At 43.1% G+C, this 12829-nt stretch overlaps 1 long non-coding RNA gene across 1 annotated transcript in view; it reads right to left on the bottom strand.

Annotated features, from left to right (window-relative positions):
* Positions 1-9307: 9307 nt before the first annotated feature.
* PPM1K-DT (PPM1K divergent transcript) overlaps positions 9308-12829 on the bottom strand; it is a 56728-nt gene continuing 53206 nt past the window's right edge. The window contains exons 4-5 of the long non-coding RNA NR_134238.1: positions 10013-10103; positions 9308-9662 (exon numbers count right to left, since the gene is read on the bottom strand). This is a non-coding gene — a long non-coding RNA (PPM1K divergent transcript). The remainder of the gene's footprint in view (positions 9663-10012; positions 10104-12829) is intronic.

The raw sequence follows: 12829 nt of genomic DNA, 5'->3' as shown, positions 1-12829 counted from the left end.
GGACTAAGACCATGCATAGCAGTATAAACAAACAATGGCACAAACTTTATCTACTTTCCTAAATCCCACTGAAACTGCCTTTGCAAAATTATGACAGTAAGCGAAATCTGATGTAGTTGACTCCATCTTGCTGCTGACCTCCAAGCTGTCCTTGTCATTCCTTGGAATAAGCCAAGCTAACATTGGGAGGAACTTAGTTTATAGTTTCACTTGAAAGCAAGGATGATAATAGTCTCTGTATTAGTCCATTCTCACATTGCTATAAAGAACTACCAGAGACTGTGTAGTTTATAAAGAAAATAGTTTTTAATTGACTCACAATTTCACAGATTGTACAGGAGGCATGGCTGAGGAGGCCTCAAGAAACTTACAATCATGGCAGAAGGCAAAGGAGAAGCAAGCACATCTTCACATGGCGACAGAAGTGCCACACACTTTTAAACAAGCAGATCTTATGAGAACTCATTATCACAAGAAAAGCAAAGGGGAAATTCGACCCCATGATCCAATCACCTCCCAACAGGTCCCTTCTGCAATGTTGGGAATTATAATTTGACATGAGATTTGGGTGGGGACACAGAGCCAACTCATTACAGTCCCTCCCTAAAACTAATTCCCTCCTTACACACGGACTCAAAATCACCTTTGTAAGTCTAATGAAAGGCTGCAAGAATAGGATTATGGGAGGGGCTTGAACTCTGCTAAAATGTAGGTATAGTTTCTATAATTCCTTACTGCTCAAGGGTCATGTGGCCAGGCCAGAGGGCTATTATCATTTAAACTATAAACTAAATGTCTCCCAGAGTTAGCTCGGTCCAAGCCCAGGAATAATCACTGGCAGCTAAAGGCAAGATGTTCAGTCAGATCTCTTTTACTGCCATAATTTTCTCATATAATTTTTGGAAAGGCAGTTTCCAGAGGATAGGTGGAGCATACATGCAGTTGATAAGCTTTGTTCAGGCATGAATTACAGTGCTGTTGGTTGTGAGTTGAATGTAAATAAATTAACAAATATATTAAGGTATCTTAACAGAAACACACATAAAACCAGGTTATATATTGATCAATTGACAAAAAGGTGACAATTGATCAATTGACAAAAAGAACTCACATGATCTTTCCCCTATATTTCCTTTAAGAACAATGATTCACCATTCACTAATTCAGTATTCACAACAACTTTGTGAAAGGAAAATATCTTGGGCCCCCAAAATCACTAAGCTAAAAGGAAAATTCAAGCTGGAAATGCTCAGGGCACACCTGCCTCCCATTCTATTCAAAGTCATCCCTCTGTTCACAGAGATAGATGCATGTTCTGATTGCCTTTTTGGAAAGGCTTATCAGAAACTCAAAAAATGTAACCATTTATCTCTCACCTATCTGTGACATGGAAGCCCCCTGGGGTGGGGATGGGAGGGCAAGGTGGCAGGGACAGGGGGGCTTGCCTTGAGTAGTCTCTGCCTTTCTGTATGGAACCAATGTACTTCTTACATATATTGATTCATGCCTCATGTCTTCCTAAAATATATAAAACTAAGCTGTGCCCCAACCACTTTGGGCATGTGTTGTCAGGACTTCCTGAGGTTGTGTCATGGGTGTGCATTCTCCACCGTGGCAAAACAAATTTTCTAAATTAACTGAGACCTGTCTCCAATTTTTGGGGTTCATAACTTTATAGACCATAACTAACACAAATAATGAGGACATTCTATATATTTAACTGTATTTTACAGTAGTCCTCCCTTATCTATGTGTCAGGCCTCTGAGCCCAAGTTAAGCCATCATATCCCCTGTGACCTCCATGTATACATCCAGATGGCCTGAAGCAAGTGAAGAATCACAAAAGAAGTGAAAATGGCTGGTTCCTGCCTTAAATGATGACATTCCACCATTGTGATTTGTTCCTGCCCCACCTTAACTGATCAATTAACCTTGTGAAATTCCTTCTCCTGGCTCAGAAGCTCCCCCACTGAGCACCTTGTGAGCCTCAAGCCTACCCTCAAGAGAACAACCCCCTTTGACTGTAATTTTCCGTTAGCTACCCAAATCCTATAAAACTGCCCCACCCCTATCTTCCTTGCTGATTCTCTTTTCGGACTCAGCCCGCCTGCACCCAGGTGATTAAAAAGCTTTACTGCTCACACAAAGCCTGTTTGGTGGTCTCTTCACATGGACGCGTGTGACATTTGGTGCCGTGACTCGGATTGGGGACCTCCCTTGGGAGATCAATCCTCTGTCCTCCTGCTCTTTGCTCAGTGACAAAGATCCACCTGTGACCTCGGGTCCTCAGACCAACCAGCCCAAGGAACATCTCACCAATTTTAAATTAGGTAAGTGGCCTCTTTTTACTCTCTTCTCCAACCTCTCTCGCTATCCCTCAACTTCTTTCTCCTTTCAATTTTGGTGCCACCCTTCAATCTCTCCCTTCTCTTAATTTCAGTTCCCTTCCCTTTCTGGTAGAGACAGAAGAGACATGTTTTATCTGTGAACCCAAAACTCCGGCACCAGTCATGGACTTGGGAAGACAGTCTTCACTTGGTGTTTAATCACTGCCGGGATGCCTGCCTGATTATTCACCCACATTTCAGAGGTGTCTGATCACCGTGGGGACACCTGCCTTGATCCTTCACCTTTGTGGCAGGCAACCTCCCTGGGAGCGAAAGTATCCCCCCCCACCCCTTCTCTCCATGTCTCTACCCTCTCTTTTCTCTGGGCTTGCCTCCTTCACTATGGGCAACTTTCCACCCTCCATTCCTCCTTCTTCTCCCTTAGCCTGTGTTCTCAAGAACTTAAAACCTCTTCAACTCACACCTGACCTAAAACCTAAATGCCTTATTTTCTTCTGCAGTACCTCTTGACCCCAATACAAACTCGACAATGGTTCCAAATAGCCAGAAAACAGCACTTTTGATTTCTCCATCCTACAAGATCTAGATAATTCTTGGCATAAAATTAGCAAATGGTCTGAGGTGCCTGACGTCCAGGCATTCTTTTACACATCAGTCCCTTCCTAATCTCTGCTCCCAATGCCACTCATCCCAAATCTTTCTTCTTTCTCTCCAGTCTGTTCTTTCAGTCTCCACCCCAGGTTTTGAGTCCTTTGGATCCTCCTTTTCTACGGACCCATCTGACCTCTCCCCTCCTCCCCAGGCTGCTCCTTGCCAGGCTGAGCCAGGTATCAATTCTTCCTCAGCCTCCGCTCCCCCATCCTATAATACTTCTATCACCTCCCCTCCTCACACCCAGTCCAGCTTACAGTTTTGTTCCACGACTAGCCCTCCCCTACCTGCCCAAAAATTTCCTCTTAAAGAGATGGCTGGAGCTAAAGGCATAGTCAAGGTTAATGCTCCTTTTTCTCTATCAGACATTTCCCAAATCAGTTAGCTTTTAGGCTCTTTTTCATCAAATATAAAAACCCAGCCCAGTCCGTGGCTTGTTTGGCAACAACCCTTAGATGTTTTACTGCCCTAGACCCAGAAAGGCCAGAAGGCCATCTTATTCTCAATATGCATTTTATTACCCAATCTGCTCCTGAGATTAAATAAAGCTCCAAAAATTAGATTCCGGCCCTCAAACCCCACAACAGGACTTAATTCACCTTGCCTTCAAGGTGTACAATAATAGAGAAGAGTTGCAATTACTTGCCTCCACTGTGAGAGAAACCCCAGCTACATCTCCAGCACACAAGAACTTCAAAACACCTAAGCCACAGTGGCCAGGCATTCCTTCAGGACCTCCTCCCCCAGGATCTTGCTTCAAGTGCCGGAAATCTGGCCACTGGGCCCAGGAATGCCCACAGCCCAGGATTCCTGCTAAGCCATGTCCCATCTGTGTGGGACCCCACTGGAAATCAGACTGTCCAACTTGCCCAGCAGCCACTGCCCCTGGAACTCTGGCCCAAGCCTCTCTGGGTGACTCCTTCCCAGATCTTCTCAGCTTAGTGGCTGAAGACTGATGCTGCCCGATTGCCTCGGAAACCTCCTGGACCATCACAGATGCTTTGGGTAACTCTTACAATGGAGGGTAACTCCCCTTCTTAATTGATATGGAGGCTACCCACTCCACATTACCTTCTTTTCAAGGGCCTGTTTCCCTTGCCTCCATAACTGTTGTGAGTATTGACAGCCAGGCTTCTAAACCGCTTAAAACTCCCCAACTCTGGTGCCAACTCAGACAACATTCTTTTATGCACTCTTTTTTAGTTATTCCCACCTGCGCAGTTCCCTTATTGGGTCTAGGCATTTTAAATAAATTGTCTGCTTCCCTGACTATTCCTAGGCTACAGCCACACCTCATTGCTGCCCTTTTCCCCAGTTCAAAGCCTCCTTCACATCCTCCCCTTATATCTCCCCACCTTAATCCACAAGTATAGGACACTCTACTCCCTCCTTTGTGATCAATCACGCACCCCTTTCCATCCCATTAAAACCTAATCACCCTTACCCAGCTCAATGCCAATACCCCATCCCACAGCATGTTTTAAAAGGATTAAAGCCTGTTATCACTTGCCTGTTACAGCATGGCCTTTTAAAGCCTATAAACTCTCCTTACAATTCCCCCATTTTACCTGCCCAAAAACCAGACAAGTCTTACAGGTTAATTCAGGATTTGCACCTTATCGACCAAATTGTCTTGCCTATCCATCCCATGGTGCCAAACCCATAAACTCTCCTATCCTCAATACCTCCCTCCACAACCCATTATTGTGTTCTGGATCTCAAACATGCTTTCTTTACTATTCCTTTGCACCCTTCAGCCCAGCCTCTCTTTGTTTTCACTTAGACTAACCCTGACACCCATCAGTCTCAGCAACTTACCTGGGTTGTACTGCCGCAAATCTTCATGGACAGCCCCCATTTCTTCAGTAAAGCCCTTTCTCATGATTTACTTTCTTTCCATCCATCTGCTTCTCACCCTATTAAATATTTTGATAACCTTCTACTTTATAGCCCCTCCTACAAATCTTCCCAACAGAACACCCTCCTGCTCCTCCAACGTCTATTCTCAAAAGGCTATCGTGTATCCCCCTCCAAAGCCCAAATTTCTTCCTCATCCGTTACCTATCTCGGCATAATTCTTCATAAAAACACACATGCTCTGTCTGCTGATCTTCTCTGGCTAATCTCCCAAACCCCAACTCCTTCTACAAAGCAACAACTCCTTTCCTTCTTGGGCATGGTTAGATACTTTCACCTTTGGATACCTAGTTTTAACATCCTGACTAAACCATTATATAAACTCACAAAAGGAAATCTAGCTGACCCCATAGATCCTAAATCCTTTCCCCATTCCTCTTTCCATTCCTTAAAAACAGCCCTAAAATCTGCTCCCACACTAGCTGTCCCTGACATATCCCAAAATTTTTCATTACACACAGCCAAAGTACAGGGCTGTGTGGTCAGAATTCTTACACAAGAGCCTGGACTGCACCCTGTAGCCTTTCTGTCCAAACAACTTAACCTTACTGTTTTAGCCTAGCCCTCATGCTTGCATGCAGCAGCTGCTGCTACTTTAATACTTTCAGAGGCCCTCAAAATCACAAACTGTGCTCAACTCACTCTCTACAGCTCTCATAACTTCCAAAATCTATTTTCTTCCTTACACCTGATGCATGTACTTTCTGCCCCCCGGCTCCTTCGGCTATACTCACTCTTTGTTGAGTCTCCCACAATTACCATTGTTCCTGGCCCGGACTTCAATCCAGCCTCCCACATTATTCCTGATACCACACCTGACCCCCATGACTGTATCTCTCTGATCCACCTGACATTCACTCCATTTCCCCATATTTCCTTCTTTCCTGTTCCTAACCCTGATCACACTTGGTTTATTGACGGCAGTTCCACCAGGCCAAATCGCCACTCACCAGCAAAGGAAGGCTATGCTATAGTATCTTCCACATCTATCATTGAGGCTACCACTCTGCCCCCCTCCACTACCTCTCAGCAAGCCGAACTCATTGCCTTAATTTGGGCCCTCACTCTTGCAAAGGGACTACATGTCAATATTTATATTGACTCTAAATATGCCTTCCATATCCTGCATCACCATGCTGTTATATGGGCTGAAAGAGGTTTCCTCGCTATGCGAGGGTCCTCCATCATTAATGCCTCTTTAATAAAAACTCTTCTCAAGGCCGCTTTACTTCCAAAAGAAGCTGGAGTCATTCACTGCAAGGGCCATCAAAAGGTGTCAGATCCCATCACTCAGGGCAATGCTTATGCTGATAAGGTAGCTAAAGAATCAGCTAGTGTCCCAACTTCTGTCCCTCGTGGCCAGTTTTTCTCCTTCTCATCAGTCACTCCCACCTACTCTCCTACTGAAACTTCCACCTATCAATCTCTTCCCACACAAAGCAAATGGTTCTTGGACCAAGGAAAATATCTCCTTCCAGCCTCACAGGCCTGTTTTATTCTGTCGTCATTTCATAACCTCTTCCATGTAAGTTACAAGCCACTAGCCTGCCTCTTAAAACCTCTCATTTCCTTTCCATCGTAAAAATCCATCCTCAAAAAATCACTTCTCAATGTTCCATCTACTATTCTACTACTCCTCAGGAATTTCTCAGGCCCCCTCTCTTCCCTACACATCAAGCTCAAGAATTTGCCCCTGCCCAGGACTGGCAAATTGATTTTACTCACATGCCCCGAGTCAGGAAACTAAAATACCTCTTGGTCTGGGTAGACACTTTCACTGGATAGGTAGAGGCCTTTCCCACAGAGTCTGAGAAGGCCACCATGGTCATTTCTTCCCTTCTGTCAGACATAATTCCTCGGTTTGGCCTTCCCACCTCTAAACAGTCAACCAGAAAGATCTCCTCACTGTCCTCTAAACAAACCAGGTTCATGGTTTTGTACCTGCTTCTGGTCTTGTCACTCTTCTCTTTAGAAACTCTCCTCCCCTTCTCTCCACAGATCCAAATTCCAGTGACCCCACAAGGTCATTCCCCTTTTCTGACTCCACCTGCCTATAGTGGCCTCCTCTTCTTTGCTGAACTCCTACTGCACTTGTCAGTAACATTCCACTGAGTTCTCAATGCTAGTGTGTCATTGTTTCTCTGTGCTTTCTATGTGTACATATTATGTTCTGTATGAGATTTCTTAGCCTCTGTAAATCCTTAGAATACCTAGCAGAGCTGAGCGCAGGGTGGAAGGTTGACACCCATGAACTATTTTTTATCTCGTAATATCACACATGGCAGCCATAATGCATTGCACCCCTTGCGGGATGAGGTGTGACAGCAAAACTGGCATAAATTTCTTCTTCCTTTTTCACAATTTCACAGCTACAAGATTCATTTTTACTATAGATCATGGTAACATCAGCACATAATTTTTTTTCTTATTAAGTAAAAAACTTACCTTTTCAATTAAAGGAAACACTTTCCAGCTGCTCTTTGGCATCTCTGAATTGCAAGCATCACTACTCTTGCACTTTGGGGCCATTCTTAAGTAAAAGAAGGGTTCCCTTAACACAAACACTGAGATACTGTGACTGTCCAACTGTTAAATAACAGGGCTGCCAAGTGACTCACAGGCAGGTACCACCACCTTAAACAGCGTGGATACACGGGACAAAGAAATCATTCATGTACCCAATGGGACAGAGCCAGACAGCATAAGATTTCGCCATGCTACTCAGAATGGAGTACAATTTAAAACTTATGAATTGTTATTTCTGGGTAATTTACTTAATATTTTTTGGAACATGGTCAACTGCAAGTAACTGAAACCTCAGAAAGCAAAACCATAGTGTCATGCGCATCTGTGTGAAGAGACCACCGAACAGGCTTTGTTTGAGCAATAAAGCTTTTTAATCACCTGGGTGCAGGCGGGCTGACTCCGGAAAGATAGTCAGCAAGGAAGATAGGGGTGGGGCAGTTTTATAGGATTTGGGTGGTTAGTGGAAAGTTACAGTCAAAGGGGGTTGTTGTCTTGTGGGCAGGGGTGGGGGTCACAAGGTGCTCAGTGGGGGAGCTTCTGAGCCAGGAGAAGGAATTTCACAAGGTTAATTGATCAGTTAAGGTGGGGCAGGATCAAATCACAATGGTGCAATGTCATCAGTTAAGGCATGAACCAGCCATTTTCACTTCTTTTGTGATGTTTCACTTGCTTCAGGCCATCTGGATGTATATGTGCAGGTCACAGGGGATATGATGGCTTAGCTTGGACTCAGAGGCCTGACATTCCTGTCTTCTTATATTAATAAGAAAAATAACATAAAATAGTGCTGAAGTGTTGAGACAACGAAAATTTTTAGGGGTGGTATGGAGAGATAATGGGCGATGTCTCTCAGGGCTGCTTCCAGCGGGATTAGGGTTGGCGTGGGAACCTAGAGTGGGAGAGATTAAGCTGAAGGAAGATTTTATGGTAAGGGGTGATATTGTGGGGTTGTTAGGAGGAGCATTTGTCATATAGAATGATTGGTGATGGCCTGGATATGGTTTTGTATGAATTTAGAAACTAAACGGAAGACACAAGGTCTGAATAAGAGAAGGAGAAAAATAGGTATTAAAGGACTAAGAATTGGGAGGACTCAGGACATCAAATTAGAGAGTGCCCAAGCAAGTAATTACTTGCTTGGTTGGCGAGTTTTTGGGCTCTATCCTTGAGTTTTTTTATGTTGTCATACACCAGGCCAGATTTATTTAGGTAAAAACAACACTGCTCATTTAAAAATATACAGAGTCCTCCTTTTTCAGCAGTAAGTCAAGGCCTTGGCAGTTTTGGAGGAAAGAGAAATGCAAAGCCAGCAATTGTTTGTTAAAGAAGGATTAGAAATGGCTAGGAGAGAGTGAGATTGATAGTGTGGTAGAGATAGCTGGGGAGAGGTAGAGGGTGGCATAAGAACGGGAACAAGAATAAGAGTAAGTATAAAACTAAAGAATAGGACTTCATCAGGGTGAAAGTATTGGAGTGTACTTTGCCACTGAAGTGAAAGGGGAGGTGCTAGGTTCTTTTTAACAACCAGCTTTCACAGGAACTAATAAAGTGAGAACTCGTACCCCGCACCCACCCTCCCAGACAGAGCATTAATCTATTTATGAGGGATCTGCTCCCATGACCCAAACACCTCCCATTAGGCCCCACTTCCAACACTGGGGATCAGATTCCATCACAAGATTTGAAGGGGACAAACATCCAAACTATAGCAGTGAGCAAATAAGCTTCTCCCTTAAACGAAAAACACACGGTACGTAATGCTAAAACCTCCCAGCTGTACCTTCTGACCTGTTGACTGGGCTTCCCATACACTCATTTTTCCTGCCCCTTGGGATTTTTAACTTCCAGTAAGACTCTTAAGTTAATTGCTTTTTCAAGGGCAACTTTAATCAGAATAGCCAGCTCTACAGACACATTACAGAAAAAGGAAAACCAGTTTTTTGTGTGTGTGTTAGGCTATTAAAAAAATAGTGGTGGGTTTTTTTTCCCCATTGGCTTTTTTCTCTCCATTATCATGCACGCCTTTCTGTTCAGGATTGAGGTCATCCATCTGCAATCTCATATCCTCTTGCTGGGTTCTGTCAAGTATTAGTCATAAGGCAGTCAGCTTGCTTGTGTACACTTCAACAGCTCTTTTTCACATCAAGCCTTCCAGTTGTCTCTGCTTATTTTAGCCGGGTGCTCAAAGTAGCAGCTGGTTGCCTGGCTATTCCTAGGCAGCTGAAAGCATTGTGAGGAGAACACAAATGAAGCAGGAAGGAATAATCTGAGCTTGATGCTAAGATTTTTGTCTAAGACCTTCTGACCAGGGTCTGTTTCCTAACTGCAATCTGTCCAAAATGTTACTTCCCATCACTCCACATATTATAGCTATCTGATAATTATTAAAATCTGAATATCAAAGTCATTTTTGTATGGAGGGAATAATTAACATATGTACCTTTCCAATATGGCCTTAAATACGCCCCCAAATTCCTTAGCTGTTAATTTTTTTCTCCCACCCTAAAATATAGGTATTTTTAATATTTACCCTGCCCATTTAATAGCAATAAGAGAAGTACATCAGTTACCTAAGTCAGAGATCAGCAAACTTCTTCTGTATAGGGCCAGATAGTCAAGCTTTGTGGGCCACACATTCTCCAATACAATTATTCAGCTCTGCTATGGTAGCATGAAAATATCCACATAATACGTAAATGAATGAGCATAGCTGTGTTCCAATAAAACTATTTATACTGTGGTATAATTTTTAAAAATCTATATTTAATTTCTGCCCTGGTTCCCATCATACAGCTCCTAAAATATGAGGCATTTCTAGAGTGGTAAGAGTATCTTTTGTACACTAATGAGATGACTGGTGGCCCCTAAATAGCTTCAGGATGGGGATTGGTCAGAAAAACTAGGGCATGATTAGAGAGTTGGAACTTTTAGCCACATTTCTTAATCTCTAGGGAGGGGAGACAAGCTGAAGGTTGAGCTGATCACCAATGGTCAACTGTAGGACCTAGATTTTAGTATCTGTGGGAGTCTTGGAAATAATCCCCTTCGATTACTATAACCATAATCAGTCATGTCTACATAATGACCATAATTACCCAAAAGGACTGAGTTGGAAAAGCTTCTAGATAGCTGAACTCATGGAGGTGCCTGGAGGTGGTATATCCGAAGAGGGCATAGAAGCTCTGTGCCCTTTTTCACATACCTTGCCCTATTCATCATTTCCATCTGGCTATTCATCTGCATCCTTTATACTATTTATTTATTTATTTTTGAGATGGATTCTAACTTTGTCACTGCACCATGAGTGCAGTGGTGCAATCTCGGCTCACTGCAACCTCTGCCTCCCAGGTTCAAGCGATTCTTCTGCCTCAGCCTCCAGAGTAGCTGGGATTACAGGCACGCGCCACCACACCCAGCTAGTTTTTGTATTTTTCGTAGAGACAGGCTTTCACTATGTTGTCCAGGCTGGTCTTGAACTCCTGACCTCAAGTGATCTGCCCACCTCAACCTCAAAAGTACTGGGATTACCGGCAAGAGCCACCATGCCTGGCCTGTACTATTCTTTATAATAAACCATTAAATGTAACTAAAGTGTTTCCCTGGATTCTGTGAGCCACTAGCAAATTAATCAAACCTGAAGAGGTGGTTGAGGGAACCTTGATTTATAGCCAGTCAGAAGCACAAATAACAACCTGGGGCTTTCTTTGTTTTTTTTTTTTGTTTGTTTGTTTTGAGACAGCGTTTCACTCTTGTCCCCCAGGCTGGAGTGCAATGGCGTGATGTTGGCTCACCGCAACCTCCACCTCCCGGGTTCAAGCAGTTCTCCTGCCTCAGCCTCCTGAGTAGCTGGGATGACAGGTGCTTGCCACCACGCCCAGCTAATTTTTTGTATTTTTAGTAGAGACGGGATTTCACCATGTTAGCCAGGCTGGTCTCGAATTCCTGACATCAAGTGATCCACCTGCCTTGGCCTCCCAAAGTGCTGGGATTACAGGCGTACGTCATCACACCTGGCCCTACAACCTGGGGCTTTTAATTGGTATCTGGAGTGCGGGCAGTCTTGTGGGACTGGGCCCTTAACCTGTAGGGTCTGATGCTATCTTCAGGTGGATAGTATCAGAATTAAATTGAATTATAAGACACTCAGTTGGCGTCCACTGGAGATTTGCTTAGTATGTGGAGAAAAACCTTTACACATCTGGTCACAGAAGTGTGCAACGGTGAAAAACAGTTTGTGCTTTCAAATTTGAATTTCATATAATTTTCATGTGTTACAAAGTATTTTTTTCATTGACTGTTTATAATCAGTGAAAAATATAAAAATCTATTCTTAGCTCAGAGGCTATACAAAAATAAGAGGGGAGGAAAGCAGGCCTGATCTGGCTCATGGGCCATACTTTCCCTACCTTTGGCCTAGGTTGGCAAACTGTAAACTTGAGGTTACAGTTATTAGAACCTAATATCCAATGTGATGGTATTAAGAGGTGGGGCCTTTGGGAAGTGATTAAATCATGAGGCGTTCACCTTCATGAAGGGAATTAATGCTCTTATAAAAGAGACCAAGGAGAGTTTGTTTGCCCCTGCTGCCATGTGGGGACACACAGAAGGCACCATCTACGAAGAATGGGCCCTCACCAGACACCAAATCTGCTGGTGCCTTGATCTTGGACTTCCCAGCCTCCAGAATTGTGAGCAATACATTTCTGTCATTTGTAAATTGCCCAGTGTAAGGTATTTTGTTTTAGCAGCCTGAATGGACTAAGAGAGTAAGCATATATTATTTATGCATTCTGAAAGGAACAATAACACTATTTTTCCTTCAAAGAAAATGTTTAACTTTAATGTTCATTGAAGTGCTAATTCTAATATTAAAAAATTAAAAACAACCTAAATATCCAATAAGAGAGAAGGCACTAAGTGCCTCTGTACATCAGAATACTAATTGGCCTTTAAGATGATGTCGTCAGTGGTAGAGAATGCTGGTTTTTGAAGTGGATAGACCTGAGTATACATTCAGACTCTCATTTACCAGCTGAGGATCTAAAGCAGCCCCCTTCAATTTCCTGGATTTTTCTCATAAGTAAAATTGAAAAGGTAATGTAACTTTGTTATCGTGTCATGCTTAACATACAGTAAGACTCTTTTAATATTATCTATCACAATTGTTATTTGGGGGGATTACATGGGATTTAAAATTTTTTATGCAATGAATATGTATTTTTTCATAATAATAGAAAATGACTTTTTTATTATAATGAAAGAATTTCCCTCTGTAGAGAGAAATCATTTCTAAAAATTACAGTCACTATGGCATCTACAGCAAAGTACCTGTAGCAGTACAATGTAGGTTAGGCTTGGGAGAGAAAGGCTTGCTGCGGATACCAATG

This window comes from Homo sapiens, chromosome 4 (genome assembly GCF_000001405.40).
Source record: "Homo sapiens chromosome 4, GRCh38.p14 Primary Assembly".
NCBI lineage: Eukaryota > Metazoa > Chordata > Mammalia > Primates > Hominidae > Homo > Homo sapiens.
The sequence above is the reverse complement of the archived record's forward strand: the minus strand, read 5'-3'. Positions and strand labels throughout refer to the sequence as shown.